The following is a 23,250-nucleotide window of genomic DNA, read 5'->3' as shown; positions in this document are numbered from 1 at the left end:
CGCCATCGCCTCCCCCCGCCACAGCCAGACTGGTCTGCTCCCCCTCCTCTTCACGTCCCCTCTTGGTGATCACCTGCTCCCCCATTTCCCACCTCAAGCAGTCTCACCCTCCTCTGTGCCCCGCCCCTGGCTCCTACCTACGCAAGGTGGCAGCCTCTGGCCACCCTGCACGCCCAGCCATGCAGAGCCTGGGAAACGACAGGACATGTGGCTGTCCTTTCACGGCCCCTGTCACCTCCCCCAAATCCAGCCAGGGCTGAGACGCCCCACACTGTGGCCCCCGGCATAAGGCCTTGATCCTTCCTGAGGGCAGGATGGGGGCAGTTTTGTTCTGTGAAGTTCCTTGGCCTTGAGCTTAGCTGGACCCCGCTCCCGGAAAGCCCGAGAAACAGACGTTCCTCTGTGAAAGCCCCTTCTGAGCACCTGCAAGGAGCACTCTGCCATCCCACTCCTGGTTCAGGCTTTCATCCGCGTGGAGGGCCTTGTCTTCTGTGAGTCCCCGCCTCAGCCTCACCTGGCTCCTAGGAGGCTCTGGGAAGGTTAGCTGGGCTGTTCCCCAAACAAGGGGCCACAGGAAGGTGGGGGCTCCTGAGGGTCTGGGAGGCAGGGGAGACTATGTGTGCCCTTTCTCTTCCGCACCTGAAACCTGACTTTCCCTCACTGGAGACCTGAGGATGGAGTGCAGTGGCTTAGCTAAGCTTCTGTTAACAGCATGCTCACTGTTTTGAAACAGAAATGAAAGAACATTTGGGAGTTGGGGTATGTGCAGAGAAAACATTTTCCTTGAATGTCTTTACTGAATGGGTGGGAATAGGTATGTGTGAAGGGGAAAAGTTCAGGGTACAGTGGTCAGGTCCTTGGGAGATGTCGGGGAGGGCCGTCTGGCCCAGCTCCTGAGGAGGGTGGGCCCAGGCTCATCCTATACGCACTAGTCCTGACGCCTCACAATTAATCAAATGGCTAAAAACAAACACAAAAGAAGCCCTCAGCATTGTGTTACCAGGGCAGCGGTGTGATGTCATCTGTTCATTCCAAGCTGTCACCCCGAAGCTGAGTGAAGTACGTGGTGAGGACAGGCAGATTGTGCCTTACGTGCATAGTGCAAATAAGGTTTGTGTAGAGTATTTTGCTCATTGACTGTGGAATTCATTGATTATGTTATTCACTGCACGTTCAGCTCCGCAAAGCGTCTTCTGTGTACCTGGGAGGAGCATGGTGCCATTTCCCTTCCTCCTTCAGACTTTCTTCTACATGGAAGGCCCCGTCCTCCACAGGTCCCAGCCTCAGCTGACACTCGGGTCCCAGGAGGCTCTGCGAAGGTTTGCTGGGCGGTTCCCCCGCACGCCGGGCTACAACAAAGGTGGGCGCCACTGAGGGGCCTGGGAAGTAGAGGCGCAAGAACCTGTGTCAAAGCATGTTGCACATTATCTGATTATTTTATTCAAAATCAATCATCAGATCCCATACAAAATGTTTTCATGTAGATTATCTTACTCGTTGTCACAAAGACCCACAAGAAAGGTAGAATTGAGGTTTCTAATCCCTATTTTATAGCTGAGGAAACTGAGACCCAAATTACGTTTCCAACAGTGGCTTTCTGCTTCTTCCAGGAACACAGCATGACACGTGCTGTGAACCTCAGCTGTGAGACAACCGAAGGAGAGACAACATTCAGCAAAAACAGAGCCCAAACTGTCCCCGTTTCTCTCAGCCCCAACTGCTCCATGGCTTGGAGTGCAGCAAATGTTTCAGCCGCGCTCAAAGGGAAGGCTTTGCTCTGGAGTCAGCATGCAGAGCTCGCCTCGACTCCCCTCCATGCCGCTCCTCACCAGCACTGGCTGGGTTTGAATCTCAGCTCCCTGGCTCCTCGCTGTAAGCCCTGGAATGCAAACCCCAAGGGCCAAACACCCCGAGGCTCTCAGGTCCCAGGCGCGGACACCTTCCTGGCCTTGGCTGTCATGGCCCAGATGGAAGCAAAGACAACTCCCCTCTCCACAGGTCGGCTGGTCCTCCTGCCCCGAGAGCAGGAGCCCAGGCACAGGCTCTGTACAGAGTTCTCCATCTACTTCTCCCAGGGTGGCTATGCAAAGGCCGTCTGCCTCTCGCTCTCTGGGTCCCACCTGCAGCCTGTCCCAGTGGATTCTGTAGGCTCCACAGTGATGCTGGGAAAAGACCCAAACACCCGGACAAAGCACGTGGACAGCTGCCAATGCCAAAACGGCAGGAAGCAAGGGAAAGGCAGCTGGCTCCGACCCTTTGCCAACCGTGTGCAACGCTGCAGGCACCTAGAGCCAGCGAGGAGCTACCAAACTGGTTCCCATCTATGCTTGCAGCGGCTGCTGTCGCAGAGGCAGGACAGGGGTGCATGGCTATGCCAAGTATCCTTCTGGGATGAGCCGATTCTCTTGTCCCAGGTCGGGCATGATGGAGAGGCCAGAAGGTGTGTTTGAATAGCAGGCATTGGGGGTTTGCAAAGGGCTGTGATTTCCTGGGCCTCCCGTCTTAGGCAGGCTCTGGGTTCTCCTTGGTTCTTCCCTTGGAGCAGGGACCTGGCTTTGGATGACCATGGATCTTTCCTGGTTTCTGCTGTTATCTTGCTGTGTGACCGAGGTCAAGTCCACACTCCCTTCCCAAGCTTGTTTTCTCTGCAGTAAAACTGCCATTTGGAACTGAACCCTTCAAGGGGAGGCGGCTGAAACAGTGGGGGTGATGCTGGGTGCTAAGCCCTACCCCTTCTCCTAAATACCTACTTCTCTCCTTTTTTTTCCTTTTTTACCTATTAATGGGTTAGACAGCCAAAAACCCTCTCTGAAAGAGTGTCCTGGCCCAAGTCCGCCTGGGGCACTGTTGTGAGCCTCAATTTCTACGGATCTATGCCTGGAAAGCTTTTAGCATAAAACGTTTTAGGTAGAAGACCGGGATCACGGAACAGGATCAGGACCCCAGAACAGGACCGAGACCATGAAACAGGAAGCAAGCTACATCCAGCACCCAGTTCAGAGAGAGGGCTGGGGACGCCGACACTCCACCTCCTTCCCAGCAAACTCGGAAGGCTCCAGGGCATCCCTGGAGCTGCTCTGGCAGAGAAGAATCAGTGTCCACACGTGCAGCTCTCGCTCGAGGAAGGGCAGGGGCGACATCAGAGGCATGCTTTGCACAGCACACGCTTCTAGAATGGCTGGGATTTCAACCTTGAAAGTCTCAACTCCTTCTTCCTCCTCAGATCTTGGGATTTTGAAAGTGATTCCTAAATGCCTTTCGATCTCATTTTTGCCGAAGGAGATGGTCCTAATTTACTGCATTCCAATTGGAAACATTTTTGAGAGTAAAAATACCTGAAGACATGTTGGGCCTGGAGGTAGCAGACTCAAAATTAAAGCAGGGGCCCCTCTATCCACCGCCCCCCAGATTGCATTAAACACAGCATGTTGGGGATCAGTGAGTTGCCATGGCCCTGCAATCAGACATTTTGCCCTCTGAAATTTAGCCTTGATTTTGAAGCCCTGAGTTTAGTATATTTAGATGAGCTGACGGGCCCAGGGAGTCACTCAGAAAGGGTAGAGGTCCTTCAGAGCTGCGTTAAGATACAGTGGGAGGGGGTCAAATTGCTAATTTCATCTGCCACTGAAAACTCCCAAACAGCAGAGAACTTCCCAGAAGACTTGTGAAGTTGGGAGTCTGCAGGTGGCGGGGGTTGGGTGGGGAGGTGATGGCATTCTACCCCTAAGAGAGCATTTTGAAGTTGAAGCTCAACTTAAAATATTTGTGCCTATTTTTGAGACAGGGTCTTGCTCTGTCACCCAGGCTGGAGTGCAATGGCACCATCTCAGCTCACTGCAGCCTCGACCTCCCAGGCTTGAGCAATCCTCTCACCTCAGCCTCCTGAGTAGCTGGGACTACAGGCATGCACCACCACACTTGGCTAATGTGTGTATGTGTGTGTGTGTTTGTAGAAATGGGGTTTTGCCCTGTTGCCCAGGCTGGTCTCAAACTCCCGAACTCAAGCCACCTGCTCTCCTCGGCCTCCCAAAGTGTTGGGATTACAGATGTGCATCATCGTGCCCAGCCACATTATGCTTTTTAGAGGGACATCACCAATCAGACAGTGGCCTGGGCTGGACACAGCATCCCTGGAAGACGGCCCCTCTCTAAGGTGTCATCTGCCATTAGCCAAGGACCCTCTTGTCTCTCTAGCTCCAAGTCTCCACAGAGGATGTGCTCAAAAGTGAGTGTGTGTGGCCTTGCCCCCCACTTCTCCTGCCTGCAGGTGGGGAGGGAAGCAGGTGGCAGGAGGAGGTGGCTGTCTGGGGCTGCCCTCCTCTGTACCTGTGCGTGATTTTACTCTATGCTGAGTGCCAGCAGGGAGGATGGGAAACAACATTTCTGTCTGGTTATCAAATGATCGCCATCATTGGCCTCATGGCATCACCACTGTCTTCATTGCTGGCACCTTCCCGTCCTCCCTCCAGCCAGGGAAGTCTGACCCAGGCACAGGTGACAGGAAGTGTCACTCTGCCTTAGGGGTCTGCAATCTTGGGATGTCAAACAGGCCCCACGGTGCCTTGCACCCCTGGTCTCACACTCTGTATCATTTTCTGTACTGTTCATGTGGTTCTCAAAGCAGGCGTGGCCAGGGAGTGGGACAGCTTTGTGTCCGTGTCTTGGAGCTGCTGCAAAGAGGCCCCGAGGGCCGGGGGCTCAGGCCACAGAAACGGATCTTGTCCCGGCAGTGGGGGCTGAAGCCTGAGATCACAGTGTGGGCGGGGCTGGGTCCTTCTCAGGCTGTGTGGGGGGTTCTGTCCCAGGCCTCTCTCCTGGGAGTGCAGGCACTGGCTCCGCCCATGTCCTTCACCTCCCCTTCCCTCTAATTGTGTCTGCCTCTGTCACCACATCTCCTCTTTATGAGGACATTGGCCCTATTGGATCAGTGCCCTCTCTAATGACCTCAATTTAAATCAGTGACCTCTGTGGAGACCCTCTCTCCAGATAAAGCCTCCTTCAGATAAAGCCTCTTGCGGATAAAGCCTAAAGCACTGGTGGTCAGGACTTCAACGTGTGAATTCCAGGAGGACACACTTCAGCCCATTACAGACCTGATGGCTTCTGCCAGACACCCAGCCGATCCCCATGGCTTATGGAGGAAGAAGACAAGTGGAGACGGGGAGGTGGTCGGGCGACCCTTTCCACGGCCAGCAGCAACTGCACCCGTGTCTGGGCACCTCCTGAGTGCTGTAAGCCCCCATGCATCATCAAGACGGAGGCCCAGGCAAGGGCAGGTGGGAGCTGAAACCCGTCTCAGGAGGTGGATATTTTTATCATTGGGTGTTTGTATTTTTCTTATTATAAGAGCCTTCGTCTTTTTCTTCTTGCACGTCATTTATTGCTTGCTTTTATTCTTATCTGGTTGTTTTCTGTGTGGGTTACAGATCCCCAAGCCACCTTCCCTTGGTCCCAGCCCAGATTGTGGCTCCCCTGTGTGCCTCCCAGGCCCCAGGATAGACGTCAACCGTGTCCCCTTGTGGGTGCCTTGAGCTTAGCACCTGCCTGTCCCTTCCAGGGGCCCCTCTAATACAGGACTTACATCTTCATGAAGACACTAACTGTACTAGTGCGTGTTCTCCAGAGGAGCAGAGCCACTCAAGGTGTGCACATCAGAAGAGAGCTATTTTAAGGAACTGGCTGACGCTGGCAAGTTCAAACTCTGCAGGGTGGGCCGGCAGGCTGGAGACCTGGGAAGGAGCTCATGTCACAGTTCGAGGCCTAAGGCAGTCTGGGGGTGGAATTCCTTCTTGCTCAAGGCTGGTCAATCTCTTTGTTCTAGTCAGGCCTTCAACTGATTGGGTGAGGCCCACCCCTTTTGACGAGAGCCACCTGCTTTACTCGAAGGCTAATCTCATCTAGAAACACCTTTACAGGTGCATCCAGAGTAATGTTTGACGAGCTATCTTAGCACCGTGGTCCAGCCAAGCTGACTATAGAATTAATCATCACACCGTCTAATGCCAAAATAATTCAAATCTTTTTTTAAGTGAAAACAAGTTTATTAAGAAAGTAAAGGAATAAAAGAATAGCTACTCCATAGGCAGAGCAGCCCCAATAATTCAAATCTTTACTGAAGTCCCAAGAGGCTTGTGGGAGGAAGGTGTACTCCGAACGCACAGCAAAATCTTAACATTTCTCTCTCCCTGGCCACTCTCCACATTGCTTGCTATGACTCCCCTGAAACTGCTCCCCTCATTCTCAGCCTTGAACCCAGAAATACCCCAGCCCCCAGCACTCCTGCACTTCCTTCCGCCTCCCACTTTGTTCCTGTCCTGTCCTTCCTTCTCCTCCGCAGATGACTCCCAGCCACTTCCAGTCCTCACCCTGTCCCAACTTCTCCACCTTTGTCTCTCCACCAGCCCTGAGGCCTCACCATGCAAGTCCAGGCACTGAGCCAGCAAAGGCAGAATCCACCGCCCCCAGGTAGGGAAGGGGAGCAGAGAGCACAGGGCACTCTTCCCTCAAAGAGCACAGGGCACTCTTCCCTCAGAGAGCACAGGGCACTCTTCCCTCTGCACATTTCCTGGGCATCTCCACCCCATTGCTCGTGAAGCTTGGAGAGCTGGTAGCTTACGGAGACAAGACTCCCCCAAGCCCCTCAAGACTGCAGGCCCAGCCCTCCCAGCTCCCCTTCAGATCAGGGAGGAGAGAGTCACAGTGTTTCTGCTTCTCCAGCACCACCGTCCAAAGTGGAGATGATGTCAGCAAAGGGGATATTGAAGCAGATGGAGTGGTACAGATGGTGGGTCACTAAAACGCAGGTTGAAGGTACGTGCTGCCACGGGCTAAGCCAAGAAGATGGGAAGGTGGGTCTGTCTGTTGGAATATAAATCCTTGGCCCCAGTGTTCCTGGTGGAGAGTCCTCCAGTATGAATGCTTGCTGGGCATGCTCAGTTTAGGAGGAGTTAATCCAACAGGTCCTATTTCTTTCATAAGGACTGAGGCCACTGTGGGAGCATGGGCTGCCTAATGCCGTCCCAGCTGTTGCTAAATGAAAGGCCGGGCCTGCTATGTAAATGTCTTATTTGATGCCTTTTCTATGATGCATGTCCTCCTGGAATGGGGCTCCTGGCTTTGTCAGTCCTGGAGACCCACAGGGATGTAGATTGTGCCTTTTGGAAAATGCTTCCAGTGACCCACATGTTACGTGCCTCTGTCCATATTTTCAACAAGCTTTTCAGAGCACAGTTTTAATGTCCATTAAGGAACTATCTCATTTGGCCAAGGGAGGCATACACGGGTGAGTACTCTAAGATAACACAATTTGAAGAGATCTGATATGAAACTGTCACACTGGGGTATGATCATTCTCACTGCAAGAGAAATACTTGATTAAAATGCATTGAAGACATATTTTAAATTAGACCCTCTCGCAGTGCATTTAAGACAGATCCACTTTACTTTCCAGGCTTTTCACATCAAGTCATGCCTGTGCCCACAGACAGGGGAGGAGGTGGCATGAGGCTCCAAGCTCTGGAGCCTTGGAAGTCAGGCAGGCCCCACTGGAATCACAGCCCCCTACTCCCAGGCAAGTCAGCTCACCTCTCCAGAACTCTGTGTGCTTCTCTGTGAATTGGGGATAAAGAAGAGAGTCCCTGTTACTTGCTTTTTTATGGGCTTAGTCCTCTCTGTCCAACGAGTGTGTGAGAAAGCAAAGGTGACTGTGGCATAGACACCGGCCGCTTAGTGCATCGTCCCCATTCAGACATCCCTGCTCCTGACTCCTCCCATCTTCTCAGGCACACCTAAGGAGTCAGTCTCTCCTGACCGATGGATCCAACTTCACAGCTGCGACTGAGCACCAGGGGGACGTGGCGCTGGGAAATTGTCCCGGCAGACGAGACTGAACCCTAGAAGGGCCCCATGGTAAAACTGATAAAGCCTGAAATGTGTGTGCAGACATGGGCCTCTTTATTACCACACAACGACCATTAAAATCTCTCTGCTATGGTGTAATTATTTTCCATAAATTATTGGGGTACTGGTGGTATCTGGTTACATGAGTACGTTCTTTAGTGGTGATTTGTGAGATCTTGGTGCACCCATCACCTGAGCAGTATACACTGCACCATATTTGTAGTCTTCTAATCCCTCACTGCCCCCACTCTTCCCCCCAAATCCCCAAAGTCCATTGTATTGTTCTTATGCCTTTGAGTCCTCATAGCTTAGCCCCCACATATCAGTGAGAACATACTGTGTTTGGTTTTTCCATTCCTGAGTTACTTCACTTAGAATAATAGTCTCCAATCTCATCCAGGTCACTGCAAATGCTGTTGATTCATTCCTTTTTATTGCTGCATAGTATTCCATCATATATATATATCCATCCATATATATATATATCAGAGTTTTTTATCCACTCGTTGATTGACAGGCATTTGGGTTGACTCCACGATTTTGCAATTGTGAATTGTGCTGCTAGAAACATGCATGTGTAAGTATTTTTTTCGTATAATGACTTCTTTTCCTCTGGGTAGATATGGCAGTGGGATTGCTGGATCAAATGGTAGTTCTACTTTTAGTTCTTTAAAGAATCTCCACACTGTTTTCGATAGTGGTTGTATGAGTTTACATTCCCACCAGCAGCGTAGAAGGGTTCCCTCTTCACTATGGTGTAATTTTTAAGTTTAAGCTTTTAATCTCAGATGAATCTATCTATCTATCTATCTGTCTGTCTATCTATCTACCAACCTACCTGTTATCTGTCTACCTATTATCTATCTATCCTAAAATACTAACAAGCTTAAAATGGAAAATAGCTCTTTTCTCCCTCCCTTTCACATCCCAGAGCCCGAGCATTGGGAGGGCTCTTTCAGCGTTTTTATCCATTTCTTCTGGTATTTATCTCCACATTTTAAAATAACATGCTTAGGCTGTGGGGGGTGGGTGGCTCACACCTGTAATCCCAGTACTTTGGGAGGCCAAGGCAGGCGGATTACCTGAGATCAGGAGTTCAAGACCTGCCTGGCCAGCAAGGCAAAACCTCATCTCTACTTAGAAATACAAAAAATTAGCCAGACGTGGTGGCGGGTGCCTGTAATCCCAGCTACTTTGGAGGCTGAGGCAGGAGAATCTCTTGAACCCGGGAGGCGGAGGCTACAGTAAGCCCAGATTGCACCATTGCAGTCCAGCCTGGGTGACAAAGCGAGACTCCATCTCAAATACTAATAATAATAATAATAACATTCTTAGAACGTTCTTTATGAATTCTTCAGTTCTAGACATGATCTTCTGTCTTTCTACACCTGGAGCTGAGGACTCAGCTCTTTAACATCCACCTTCCCACCTGTTTCTGCTCCTCGTGTGCCTCTCAAAATTAAGTCTTAATTAATAGTTGAATCTGTTTTACTGTTTCCATAGTTATAGCTGTGTGATACAATCAATCACAGTTCACAAAACGAAATCACATACTGCACTGTAATCCCACTTCTTTCCTTTTCAAACTTTTCGTTTTTCTTAAAGTTAATCATTGTTTGTTTCCTGTTTTTCTTTTTCTTTTTTTGGTGCGTGTGTGGCTTTTTATGAACTTTTCACTAATTCAGCTCCAAACTTTGCTTAAAACAAAACAAAACAAAACAAACAAACAAACAAACAAAAAAACCCACACAAAACCCCCGGGGTCTCTCAGCGCCATTGCTTTCCTTGCAGACATTTCTTTGGTGACGCACCCAACACTGGGCTGGTTTGCCCAAGGCCACTCTGGAACCCTGCTTGGGATGTTGCTGTCTAGGTGGGATCGTTTGCTCCCCAGATCTGCTGGTTTTTGCCCTAGTTTTGGGGGAGCTTGTTGAGCCAGGACAGCGGGGAGGGGAGCTGACCTTCTCCCATTTGCCCCGGAGATCCCTGCTCTGTGCCCACCTGCTGTGTCTGTGGGCTCCCTCCCCTCTGGTTGGGGCTCAGTGGGGGCCTGTGGAAGGGGACCGGTGGGTGGGAGGAGAGCAAGCCAGAGTTTCTTCCCTGGCTCTGTCCTTCTCTGTCATGCACAGCCCTCAGGAGCCTCCACAGAGTGTCCTGGGCTCCATCGACCACGCCTCCCCAGTGGCAGCTCACCACCTGCTGCCACCCTGGCTGTGAGCACCCCACACTCTGCCACACCTCGCACATAGCTCTGGTCAAACTTCCCTCAAACCACGGAATCTGGGCGTGGGCCTGGTGTCCTGCCAGGCCCTGGTGGGGAGGCCTGGGGCTGCTGCTGATGTCTTTACTCGGCACTCACAACTGACAGGACACCTGGGTCCACACACCGGGGGTGGAAGGCATCACCCCAACCCCACTGTCCCAGCACTGCGGTGGGGCCGTCCAATGCGGTTCCAAGGCTTTGCTGAGGCCAGGGGGCCTGGCTTCTCCCCACTCCTGTTTCCACAGTGGGGTCTCCCATAGCCTGTCTCCCCGCCATGGCTCTCTCTGTTCCAGCGTGGAGCAGTGATGTCCCTGGAGATTCAGAAAGAATCACGGGGCTCCTGCAGCCCACCCCACCTTCCTTCTAGTCCCAGAGCCTGGGTGGGTGGGCAAGGCAGTGGGCTTGGGTACCCCAGGGCAGGCCCACTGGGTTGCCACAGACGGTCTTGACCTTGGCTGAGCCTCCACTGATTGTAAAGGTGACACTTAGCCCTCTCCCGCCTCTCTGTTGTTTTATTTTTCCAAATTGCCCAGAACCTGGGCAGGGGAGAGGGACGATAACTACTAGCCCCCTCGATCATCCTAGAACTGGCGCTTCGACATCAGCACCGCGTGTGCCACTCCTGCAGTGCTTCTTTCCCTCCCTCCTCCTTCTTTCTTTCCCTTCCTCCTCCTTCTTTCTTTCCCTCCCTCCTCCTTCTTTCCCTCCCTCCTCCTTTCCTTCTCGGTGTAGGACATTCCCATGGCCCTTTCAACCCGGAAACGCATGCCTCTCAGCTCTGAATCCTGCTTTTCTCTGTTCTGTCTTTCTGGGACTCCTCATTGGACTTCCTGGATTCGTGCTCAAATCTTTTTGTTTTGTTTTGTTTTGTTTTGTTTTGTTTTGTTTTTCTTCTTCTCTTTGTCTTTTTGCCCTGCTGCGTATGATTTCTCTCATTTCATCTTCCAAAACTGCTACTAAAGTTTCCATTCAAGAAATGGTTTTCCTAATTCACAGGAGATCACTGGAATTCTCAGTTCTCTTTTTCGCCGGTCGCTGTATCTCGGAGGTATGGGAGCTTCTCTCCGGCGGCACCTCTGACGTGCTTCTCCCCCTTCCTCTGTGCTTCTTCTGTGTGTTTGTTCTGGCCTGTCTGTCCCGGGTGTCCATTTATAACGGAAGCTGAGAGGGGTTCTCCAGCCTCCTGCCTGGAGAGGCAAGGCTGGGCTTCCAGCAGCTGGCATTGAGCAGGGGAGAAGTGGGGAGCCTCCTAGAGTCACCCCGAGTCCTCCATTCCCACCTGCTCCACAAGGCTGTGCTGGGGTTCAGACCCTTCCTGGACCCCTCCAGCTGGCAGGAGTGGGGGAGAGTGGTCATCAACTCTGAGCTAGGAAGAGGGTCTCCCCGTGTCTCTTGCAGATCATCAGCCGGTCCTGCAGCTTTAGCCCCATGCTGTACCTCAGAATTAGAGGTTTTGTCACCTGCCAGTCCCCAGTCCTTCTGGGACCAGCCTGCTGGTCCAGCTTCCCCGACTCAGGCCTCCCTGCTGCATTTCCTCTTTCGAGGTTCAGCCGAGGGGCTGCCCACCCTTCCCCACTCATCTTCCATGAGCCTCACAGGGTCTCCTGTCTGCAGGCTGCCCCTGTCCCCCTCTCCTGCGCATTCACAGGTCATTCCTTCTTTGATGTCACTTTCGGGGGCTGTATTTGTTCCTTGTGGCTGCTGCACCAAACAACCACAAACTGATAGCTTCAGAAGTGGATTCTCCCAGAGTTCTGGGGGCAGAAATTTGAATCAAGGTGTGGGCGGGGCTGGTTCTTTCTGGAGGCTCGGAGGGAGCGCCTGTTCCAGGCTGCTCTCCAGCATTCCTTGGCTTGTGGACACGTCACTCCCATCCCTGCCTCTGTCATCTCCCAGTGTTCTCTGAAATCTCCCACTGCCCTTCTCTTGTAAGGCCGTCCTTGATTTAGGAGCCACCCCAAATCCAGATGGTCTCATCTCCAGATCCTTAACTTAATTACATCTGCAAAGACTTTTCCCAAGTAGGGTCCATTCACAGGTTCCAGGGGTTTAGATGTAAACATATCTTTTGGAGGATTTCAGGGGGAAACACTGATAATCATGCATGTGTAACCGGTCACACCTAAACACGCTTCCTGCAATGCAGAGCTGCCGGACAGCTTCCTGCCCTCCCTGCTCCCTCCCACGCTTCATCCCTAGACCCCCGGAACCCGGGCATGGCCTGGTCATCCTTCCTGGCCAATGCACCCCAGCACCTCTCCCATCCCTCTCTCCTCCTCTGGCTCCCACTCATGCCCTCCCCACTTTCTTTCGGCAGTCGGGCCTGTTTCCTGGGTCACTGAGTCAGCGAGTGATGAGACCTGCTGGAAATATGTGTGGAGGATGGGCGAGTCCACTCAGCCTTGGATGGGGCGGCAGGAAAAAGGCAGCCCCGAGCCCAGCCCAGGTCAGGATGAGAGTCTTTATTCAGGAGGACAGAACTGGCAGTCGGCAGCAAGCAGACCCAGAAGTAGATATTGGGGGCTTCATCTCAGGGAGACTGGTGCTTGGAGGTGGAAAGTCAAGTCCACCGGGGTACAAACCAGTGTGGCCATGAGCAGGCAAAGGGCGTGGCTGTTTCTAAAGAGCCCTGACACTCCCAGGCAGCTGTCGGGTTCCTTGAGGGAAAGGACACTTTGAGTCTTCCTACGGGCTGGGGGTCAGAACGGACCTCTGCACTACGGTTTATGAGGTGCCCACATTCAATCCCATAAGGGCTGTCATCACTGTACTCTCTGGGCCTTCACTTGCTCTGGACTTTGCAGCTCAGGTGGCTCCGGTCCTGTGTGGGCAGTGAGGCGGTGCTCCGTGGATGGAGGGTTAGATCTGTCTTACCCCAAGCCAAAGGGCTTAAGAGGGAGACAGAGTGTGGGTGACCCCGCCTACAGAGAAGCAGGATGCAGGGACGGTACACAGGAGCAGGCCACATGCCCCGTACTCTTCCTCTGCATGTGGTGACTGCTCTGGGTGCCCCCTCTTTCAGATGGTCCTGGCCCCAGACGACGTGGCATCTTAGCCTGTGGGTTGAAGGCATCTGTGGGGCAGATTGCCTCTGTACACGTTGGCCCCTACGTGTGGCGGCCCACAGGCATACCCATGCCACACACAGTGAGGTGTTCGACGAGCCTCCGATGGCACCGTTTCTATGACTGACAGCCATTTTCATGGCCCTGCAGGTGCAGGATAACACAAGGCTGCACCTGGCCTCTGTAGCCACGTGGAATATACTGCCTCTCCCCAGGACCCACCCTGCCCACCCAGGCCTCACTCTTCCAGACAGCCCATCCCCACTCTGCCTTACCCAGAGGCTGTCTGGTCTCCTGTGAGGGTCCCCACCTCCTCTTCTGGGGTGCTCAGGGCTGCCAGCAACCCTCCAAACTATGTCACTCAGAGCCACACAGCATCCTGCAGATGGCACTGGGGCTGCAGGGAGACGGCTGACCTGGGGCTGAGTTCCCGTTGCCTCTTTGCTGCCGCATGACTCCCGGCTCCCATGGGGCCTGTGTTCCATCAGCTACAACCTGGAAGTCCCACCTCTGTCTGCAGTCACTTTCAAAATCAAAGAGTGAGACTTTTCCATCAAGACGTGTTGGTCTTGGCCACTGCACAGGCCCAAGGCTGTGTTTCAGACCTGAGGCTGAGGACCTGCAAAGGAGCCCCCGCCCCCAGCATGTCTCGCCCTGCGGGGAAATTCAGACTCAAGGCCCCCACCTGCCTGGCCAGCGGCCCTCCCTCAAGGATGGTCTGCGATGCCAGGGCCTGGCTGGGTGCAGGGGTCCCGGCAGTGCTGCCGCCCCCTCCAGGTCCCCTCACCCCACATGTCTGCACCCAGGCTCCTCAGGCTGACCTGGTCACCTGACAGCTGGGGACTCCGTCGGGCTGCCTTTGAACACAGGCGGAAGTGAGATGGGTTTGGGGTAGGTTTTCCTTTAGACAGCCCCTGGGGCTCGGAACAGTCTCCTGTTCTGCGGACTCACCAGTCATCTGACCCTGAAAACATGTGCACACCAGCTCACTCAGGTCTGTTCTCAGGGCCGTGACTGCAGAGGGCTCTGGTTGACCCCAGAGAAGCTGTGAGACCCCAGAGCAGGAGCCAGCACAGGGAAGTGGCCCCACGACATGCCTGGGGAGGAGAGCCAGCAGCAGGTTATGGGAGAGCAGGTACCTGCGTCCATAGTCCATAGACATGCATCACACACATGCAAATACACGCGTGCCAGCGTGCGTATGGAACCATAGACACACACACACGTGTTCCGGAAGCCAGCGTCTTTCGGCACCTCTTCCAGGAATGTGTGTGTGGGGGTGAAAACAGGAAGTGAGCCCGTGTCCACAGCCGCGTATTTCCACGTAGCCTAAGGTGTCGGTGACCCGCTCCTTGGATGCCCAGAGTTGGAGACAAAAGCCCCAGGAGAGACCCCAGGAGAGGCCAGGGCTGGGGGAGGAGGACACCCTGATGTGGCTACCAGAGTGTGCAGCAGTTGGGCTGGGAACAGGCAGCAGGCGGTGATGCCCGGAGAGGCGGCCGCCGCAGGGAGGCCCTGGGATGACCCCCCCGGCTTGGTCACTGCTCTGAGGCCCCCACTGAACTCCATCCCTGACCTCCCACGTGGGGCCAGGGTGCCCCCTCATTTGCACGGGGCCCTTTCATTCCTTGCCCCTTCTGCCTGGGGCTTCGGTGTGAGCACTCACAGGGCTGGGTCCCCCACAGAGGTGACAAGAGGCTGTTGCTCACCAGGAAACCAGGCTCAGGGCACCGGGCAGAGGAATAACGAAGTTTTCAACTTGGAAACCAAGAAAGAGGCTCCTCTGGCCCCACTGTCCGCCAGCTTTGCATTACATGACTTGGGATTATTTCTATTTGAATCACGTCAGGAGGGAGGGCACCGTGGCCTTCATAGTCTTCGTGGCCTCCACGGGCCTCAGCAGAGCATGCCAGACAGTACTGGGGAGGGCAGGGCCTTTCACTGCTGGGACCACAGCTGCCCCATTCTATCTCCCCAGAGTCTCGTGTGTGCACATGTGTGCATGTGTATGCTGGTTGTATGTGCATACATTCATGTGACCTGGGTACGTGTGCGTGTGTTTGAAGTGTGCCAAGTGTGTTCACACGCATTGTGTGTGTGGTCTGTGCGCCTGCATGTGTGTGTGTGATGTGTGCATGTGTGTGTGGTGTGTGCATGCGTGTGTGTGGTGTGTGCGTGTGTGTGGTGTGTGTGCATGTGTGTGTGATGTGTGCGTGTGTGTGGTGTGTGTGCATGCATGTGTGTGTGGTGTGCATGCATGTGTGTGTGATGTGTGCGTGTGTGTGGTGTGTGTGCATGCATGTGTGTGTGGTGTGCATGTGTGTGTGGTGTGTGTGCATGCATGTGTGTGGCATGTGCATGTGCGATCTGGGCGTGTGTGTGTGTGTGTCTGTGTGCTTGTTGCATGCAGTGGGTTCTGGCGCTTGTGCTTCAAGGATCTGTGACCTAGACAGGCGCTCCCGGTGATGCCAGCCCCAGTGGAAGCCAGTGCTGCATCAAGGTCACCAACAGGAGCCAGATGGAAGCTGAGGCCATGCTGGTGTTTCCGGAGCTCCTGTCCTTGCCGTGGTGGACCTGGGGACAGGGTGGGAGTGGGAAATGAGGCTCGCAAGCCACCACCATCCTGCCAGAGACCCCTACTTCCAGAACCTCTGTCTAGGAGCTGGGTGGGCTCTGTGTGTCCACTGCTTGGTGGGCAGCTCCACCCAGCAGACCCCGGTACCAGATGTCCCCCAGGAGACATGCGTTTGGTGGCTCAGGGTAGTGACCTGGTGACTCTCAGTCTCCAGAGCTGGAAGCCTCCACCCTGGGGTCCACAAGCAACACCCAGCCCCCAGTGCTCATGGGTGCTGGCATGGTAAGGAGGTAGCGGGCAGGGCATAGAGCCCTTGCCCTCATGCAGAGGTGCCCGCCTGCACCAGACCCAGGCTGACTCTCCTTGATGGCAGATCATGTTCCTTCTGGGATTTCTGGGCAGGATGCCAACCTAACCTGCACACCCAGGTGCTCCATTCTTAGCCAGCTGCCTGGTGAGCTCATGGTCAACATGGCACGGATGCATGTGGAGCAGACGGTGACTCGTTCAGAGAAGCAGGGAGGTGGTGGCACAAATGAATGCCATGCTTGGGAGAGCAGGGAATACCACCCAGGGTGAGCAGCAGGGAAGGCTGGCCCGGACTTTGGACAGCAGGGGTGGCTCACAGAATGGGCACGCTTCTGTATCAAGAGCGGGGCGTGGGTGTGACAGCAATGGTCTCTTGTGCTGAGGCTGCTGGGGAGCAGCAGAGGACTAGGCACTGGGAAAGGGCTGAGGCCCCCTCTGCTCTCCCAGGCCTCGGTCTGTTCACACTGGCAACCATGTTAGAGTTGGTAGTTTCTAGAAATTTCTACAAACATGCACAGCATAAAATGTCTCACATCCTCTCTCGTGCCTTTTAAAGTGAAGTAATAGTGATTCTTGCAACCTGTTCTGACTCTCTCAGGCAGAGCCCTGAGCTGCGAAGTAGAGATGAGAACAGAGATGGGGAGACCATGGCTGCGCGGACGTCTTTATTTTTCCTGGGTGGGGAGCAGGATACACAGCCACACTGCAGTCACTTAGCTTGTAAAAATATCTCAATAAATAAAACAAACAAGCAACATATACACTGAACAGAGAATATTTTTTTTTAAATGGCTAGCCAAGCAATCACGGAGAAAGGAAAAGAATAGCGGCGTGAAAGTAAGAATTCCAGGCTGACTTGAAACAATCATGCAGAGGCTCGGGGGAGGGGAAGGAACTCGGGGGTCCTCTTCTGAGAGCCTTGGTCCAGTTTCAACAGAATTGTACAAGAATGCATTTCTGTTTTATTAAAAAAATAGACATTAAAAAAGGCACTTAGAGGGAAATACAAATTCAAAATCCAAATCCTCATAAATGTGTTCCTGAATCTAGACATTTTCAGAAAGAATAAACCTCCCCCCAAACATAAGACCCAGAAGAAAAATCCAAACAGAAACAAGATGACCATGACAATGTCACCAGCAAGAGGGCTGGGAGTGCCCTTCCTATGTGGGGACCGTCCTGGGGGAGGACGGGAGCCCGGGTCTTCTGTCCGATGTCACTGCTGTCCCTTCTCTCGACGCTGGTGGAGGGCAGAGGTGGGGGCCTCCTGAGGTTGTTCAGGTTTCAGAAGTTACAGACTCGAATGCATCCCAATTCCACTTGCGCCGCCGACGCGACGGACAGCCTGGAAGATACGGAAGGGGGACCGTGAGCTACGGCCGCCTCGCTCGGCCTCCTGCAGGATCGTCCTGAGACTGTCCCAAGGCTGGGTGGGACGGGACACGGGGCAGGCCCTGAGAGAGCTGGCTCTGTTCTACTCATGTTCCTCCCAAAAGACACTGGGCAGGTGACTGCTACGGGGCCAGCCCAGGCTTCCGCAACCCCTGCCCCCTGGGCCAGGCCAAGCCCTTTCCCTCCCCCGAGTGCCCTTTCCTGCCCCCGAGTGCCCTTTCTCACACTCACCACCCCGGGGCCTCTCCCTGGCCCGTGCTCAGCGCAGCCATGAATGCGGTCTGGCTGTGGGTGAGCCCCTCAGAACAGGCTGCCTGGGGACAAGAGAGGCTCGGCACGTTGGCCCCGTGCAGGCCCGAGGGAGCTGTGGGGTTTCGGGCAGCAGAGGGCTGGGTTCCAGCGAGGAGGACGCAGAGAAATGGGTCAGCCGCTGGCGGGAGCTGTCAACGGCGGATTCTTGCTTTAAAATGCGTGCTTTCAAAACAATTGCAGACACACGGGAAGTTGCAAAGACAACACAGAGATGTCCCATGTGCCTTTCACCCAGTTTCCACACATACCACACCCACGAACACACCCCACCCCACATACACACACACACCAAACATACCACACACTACACACACCCCACACTACACACCACATACACATACCACACCCACGAACACACCCCACCCCACATACACACACACCAAACATACCACACACTACACACACCCCACACTACATACACACCACATACACATACCACAACCACGAATACACCACACCTCCACATACACACACACACCACACAAACATACTACACACTACACACACCCCGCACTGTACATACACACCACATACAAATACCACACACACAAACACACCACACTGCCACATACACAAACACACTACATACACCACCACACACCACACAAACACACCACACCCTCCCACACACAAACACATCACACACACCACACACCACACAAACATACCGCACACTACACACGCATCCCACTGTCCATACACACCTCATACACAAACACATACCACACACAAACACACCACATCCCCACATACCCACACACACACTGCACAGCACAAACACACTGCATACTACACACACCCCACACACTGCACAAACATACCACATACATATCCACACAGACAACATACCATATGGTATATTATATACCACATTATATGCCACACATACAGTGGTGTCGTCACGTCACACCCAGGCATCTGGCACCAGTATGGACCAAGAGCTTATTCACATGTCACTCGTGTGGGTGTGTGTGGTGTGGGGTATGTATGTGTGGTATATAGTGTGTAGTGTACATGGTATGTTGTATGTGTGTGCATGTGTGTGTATGTGGTATGTGTGGTGTGTGCAGTGTGTGGTATGTTTGTGTGGTGTGTGGTGCATGTGGTTTGTGTTTGTGTGTATGTGGGGTGTGGTGTGTTTGTGTGTGTGGTATGTGTGTGTATGTGGTGTCTATGTACAGTGTGAAGTGTGTGTGTAGTGTGTGGTATGTATGGTGCATGGTGTATGTGGTGTGTGTTTGGGGGATTGTATTTTGTATGGGGGGTATATGTGTACAGTGTGGCGTGTGTATGTGTGTGTGGTGTGGGGTATGTATATGTGGTATGTAGTGGGTAGTGTGTATGGTATGGTATCTATGTGTATGTGTATGTGGTATGTCTGTGTGTGTGGTATGTTTGTATGGTGTGTGGTGTATGTGGCGTGACTTTGTGTGTGTATGTGGGGGTGTGGTGTGTTTGTGTGGTATGTGTTTGTGTATGTGGTGCGTATGTACAATGTGGGGTGTGTGTGTAGTGTGTGGTATGTTTGTGTGCCATGTGATGTGTGTTTGTGTGTGGTGTAGGTGGTGTGTGTTTGTAAGTGGGGGTGTAGTGTGTTTGTGTGGTGTGTGTGTATGTGGTGTGTATGTACAGTGTGGGGGTGTGTGTGTAGTGTGTGGTATATTTGTGTGGCGCGTGGTGTGTGTTTATGTGTGTAAGTGGGTATGTGGAGTGTTTGTGTGTTTTTGTGTGTGTGTTGTGTGCGTTTATGTGTGTGTTTGTGTGTGTATTGTGTGCATTTGTGTGTGTGTGTGAGTGGTGTATGTGTACTTCCTGCAGTTTCATCATGCGTGTTGTTTCTTGCACCCCCCACTATGATCAAGACACACAATTCTTCCAGCCCCACAAGGTCCCCTCATGCCACACAAGTGACTTCTAAGCGCACTTGTGGGCCAATCAAACTGTGGGTGTGCCAGGCTTGGTGCAGCTCTGGGGCTGCAACCAGCTGTCCCGGGAGCGCCTTGGGGAAAGAACCCGCTCAGGCGCTACCCAGAGCCTGGTTCCCACCTGCAGGGGGAGGAGACACAGGCAGGAGGAAAGTCCAGGTCCTCCAGGAAGCCGGGGTGGGGACCCCAATCCCGCGCCTCCCTCTGTGCCTGCCAAGCTCAAAGAGAAGGTGCTGAGAGGTGGCCGGGGCCAGCGTCTGAGACCCAGGGTGTACAGGGATGTGGTGTCATAAGCCCAAGGTCTTGGGCCACCTCAGTGGGGCCCACAGGGCAGGGGACACGCCACTGGCATCAGCACCTGGTCGGGAGTGTGGCGAACACAGGTGGGCCCCGCGCCGCGCCTCAGGGCCGCTTCTGCCACACACCCAGGCCAGCCTGCAGCAGCCCCCAGGCTGTGTTGCTGTCCTGCCAGGAGACCTGAGCTCTAGCAGGGATCGCTGAAGACTGGCCCTGCGACCTGGGACCTTTACTGCTCACCACAGGGCCTGGCCGTGTAAGTGCTCACTCCCACACCTCTTGCACAAACATGAGAACAGCCAGTTGACCTGCAGAGCTCGCGGGAGGTGAGTGTTCAGCGAGAATTATTGGAGAACTCCCCTGAGCCAAGGGGCAAACCAGCGCAACGAGACCCTCCTCCCGCAGAGCGGCTGAGCGTGGTGGGAGGGGTGGGTGTCAGCCCAGAGGCAGGCATGGGCTCCCCAAGGCGGCCGCCAGGAGAGGGGTCACCGTGAGGATTCTGCCACAGGGAAGGAGGTCCAGGGAGGCCCCAGGCACTGGGGGGAGGATGTGGAAGCTGGAGGGACGGGTGACGTGGTGCTCGGTGACATCCCGTGTGTGTGTCTGTGAGTGTGCCCACTAGTGTGAGAGTGAGTGTGAGTATGAAAGAATGTCCAGAGTGAGTGTGTGTCCATGTGCAAGTTGTGTAAATTGTGTGAGCATGTGTATCGTGTAAGTTGGCCCGTGTGTGTGCCAGTGTGCATGCATGTGTGTGAGCATGTGCATCCATGAGTGGGTCTGTGTGTCCCTGTGGGAGTGTCAGTATGCATGTGTATGTGTGTGTGCGCATCCGTGTGAGTGCATGTGTTTTCCCGTGGAAGTGCTGGTGTGCATGTTTGTAAGTGTGTACATCCACGTGAGTGGGTCCGTGTGTCAGTGTGTGTGTGTAAGCATGTACATCCTCCTGAGTGGGTCTGTGTGTGTGTCCCTGTGGGAGTGTCAGTGTGCATGTTTTTGTGTGGGTGTGTGCATCTGTGTGCGTGGGTCCGTGTGTGTCCCTGTGGGCGTGGGTGTCTGATGTCGCACAGCAGTGTGCAGGGGGGACGTGTGGTTCCGCTCCTTCACCCCCAGCCCTCTCCCAACCCCCAGCCCCAGGCTTCACCCCAGCAGCCCAGGTCCTCAGAGACCTCCAGGAACCTTTGTTGAACCAAGGCAACAGTCTGAAAAAGCCAAGACGTATTTTCCCTGAAACCCATGCGTATGAAAACCACACACGCACACGCACACACGCGCACGTACACGCGCGCGCACACACACGCACACGTACACACGCGCGCGCACACACACGCGCACACGCACACCTGCACGCACACACACGCACACACGCGCATGCGCGCACATGCACACACACGCACGCACACACACGCACACACACACACACTTTTTTCAAAGTTCAGAGCACTCCAAATATTTAAGCCTTTTTTAAGTGGTCCTGGGCAGAAAGTCAAAGGCTGCTCTCTCTTGGAGAATGTGGTTGTAATTAGATAATTAATAAGGGGGGGTGGGTAGAGAAAGCTAAATGGAAGCCTTCCTCAGTGGGAGGAAATAATTACCACAGCTTTTGATATATGAGCTGAACCAACCCTCCAAGGGGAAATACCGTATCACCCATGAAAAGCCAAAAATGACAGGGGCCGTTCCCTGGCCAGTGGTGGGTTTCAGGGTTTGCTTCACGTGCCCGAGGGGACCCAGGCTCAGGCAGAAACGGGCGGCAGGTTCATTAGTCTTCTTGACCGAGAGCCTCCGGGCCTGGCCCCCTTGATGTCACCCTGACCCCAGCCATGTCTGCTGACATGGGCCGTGTTCTCTGCAACAAATGTAAAACATCTGGGGCTGGGGAGCGCCTCCTGCATACACAGGCCACCTGGAACTGTGTGCATGCGTGCTGCGTGCAGTTACCTCCCTGTATCTGCCTGCCTGGCCCAGGAGTCGGGGGATGGGTGGAGCTGCAAAGCTGTGGCTGAACCAAGAGAGTGCCTCAGTTGTGTCTTCCACACCAGACCGGGGCCCTAATGAGCAGGTGAGGCCCCATTCAACTCTATATCCCCAAGGCCTAACAAAGGGACAGAAGCATTACGGAAAAGGCTAGGGAGGCAGGGTGGGCCAAGGGAAAGGCGTTTTACTCTAAGACCATTTATCCATCTCCTCACCTGCCCACCCAGCCAGCCACCCACCTAGCCACCCACCTACCTACTTCTTTCTTCCTTCCTTCCTTTCTTTTCTTTCTTTCTTCTTTTTTTCTTTCTCTCTTCCTTCCTTCCATCCATCCATTTCTTCATTGATCCATTCATTGATGTACCACCTGTCCTTCATTCCCTCCACCCATCCATTCATCTATCCATCCTTCCTTCCTTTTATCCATTTATCCTTTCACCAATTCATTCATTTTTCCCTCCCTTCCTTCCGCTTCCTTCCCCCTTCCTCCCTTCTTTCTTTCCTCCCTTTCTTCCTTCCATTCCTGCGACATAATTGAGCATCTATCATGTGCCAAGAATGCTGCTAGTTGTTGAAAAAGCTGAGATGGATCAGAGAAATCTAGCAGGGCAGAAGCATGTTTGTAAGCAACTAGAACACAGGGAAGACACGGATCACTTTTTAGAGTGCAGGTAGACTCTACCACAGAAAGGGAAGGGCAAAGTACCATGGACACCGTTGGACAGTCAGAACCAGCATGGCAGGGAAGAAGGGTGGGAGGTGAGCACACATGTGAAATCTCTAGTCAGACACACACACACGAACACGCACACAGACACACACACACCCATCCCACACATACCCCACATCACACACACCCCACATCACACACACCTCACATTAGACACACACCTTACATCACACACACACTACCTCAAACATACCTCACATCACACACACTACATCACACATCCCATATCACACACACACACCTCACATTAGACACACCCCCATCACACACACACTACATCAAACACACCTCACATTATGCACATACCCATCACACACACCCCACATCACACACACACTACATCACACACCTCACATCACACACACCCCACATCACACACACCTCACATCACACACACCCCACATCACACACACTACGTCGCACACACACCTCACATCACAAACACCTCACATCACACACACACCCACATCACACACACCCCACATCACACACACCCACATCACACACAA

At 53.5% G+C, this 23,250-nt stretch overlaps 1 protein-coding gene and 1 long non-coding RNA gene across 2 annotated transcripts in view, besides 3 other annotated features; one reads left to right on the top strand and one right to left on the bottom strand.

The window, feature by feature from the left end:
* The first annotated feature begins 1,028 nt into the window (after positions 1-1,028).
* On the top strand, positions 1,029-7,998 carry LINC01940 (long intergenic non-protein coding RNA 1940). Its single transcript, NR_034162.2, has 10 exons — positions 1,029-1,059; positions 1,178-1,360; positions 1,611-2,440; positions 2,908-4,225; positions 4,960-5,302; positions 5,427-5,688; positions 5,822-5,915; positions 6,718-6,810; positions 7,451-7,570; positions 7,782-7,998. It is a non-coding gene; the product is annotated as a long intergenic non-protein coding RNA 1940 (long non-coding RNA).
* Positions 2,838-3,007: an enhancer, noted in NCBI's record as "experimental_57510 CRE fragment used in MPRA reporter constructs". NCBI's record gives its function as "activates a minimal promoter by MPRAs in K562 erythroleukemia cells, with activity observed for the introgressed 2:239846072 variant allele {active_cell/tissue: K562}" and the evidence as "EXISTENCE:reporter gene assay evidence [ECO:0000049][PMID:34662402]".
* Positions 6,876-7,045: an enhancer, noted in NCBI's record as "experimental_57501 CRE fragment used in MPRA reporter constructs". NCBI's record gives its function as "activates a minimal promoter by MPRAs in K562 erythroleukemia cells, with activity observed for both the introgressed and non-introgressed 2:239842034 or rs79263949 variant alleles {active_cell/tissue: K562}" and the evidence as "EXISTENCE:reporter gene assay evidence [ECO:0000049][PMID:34662402]".
* Position 6,960: a transcriptional cis regulatory region, noted in NCBI's record as "Neanderthal adaptively introgressed variant 2:239842034 (GRCh37/hg19 assembly coordinates) or rs79263949 in the experimental_57501 CRE". NCBI's record gives its function as "modulates activity of the experimental_57501 enhancer by MPRAs in K562 erythroleukemia cells {active_cell/tissue: K562}" and the evidence as "EXISTENCE:reporter gene assay evidence [ECO:0000049][PMID:34662402]".
* The window catches only part of TWIST2 (twist family bHLH transcription factor 2), a 62,450-nt gene continuing 55,963 nt past the window's right edge, over positions 16,764-23,250 (bottom strand). Inside the window, exon 2 of the mRNA NM_001271893.4 lies at positions 16,764-17,456. The gene's annotated coding sequence lies outside the window, so the exon portion shown is untranslated. The remainder of the gene's footprint in view (positions 17,457-23,250) is intronic.

This window comes from Homo sapiens, chromosome 2 (assembly GCF_000001405.40).
Source record: "Homo sapiens chromosome 2, GRCh38.p14 Primary Assembly".
Lineage (NCBI taxonomy): Eukaryota > Metazoa > Chordata > Mammalia > Primates > Hominidae > Homo > Homo sapiens.
This window is presented reverse-complemented; position numbering and strand designations above follow the sequence as displayed.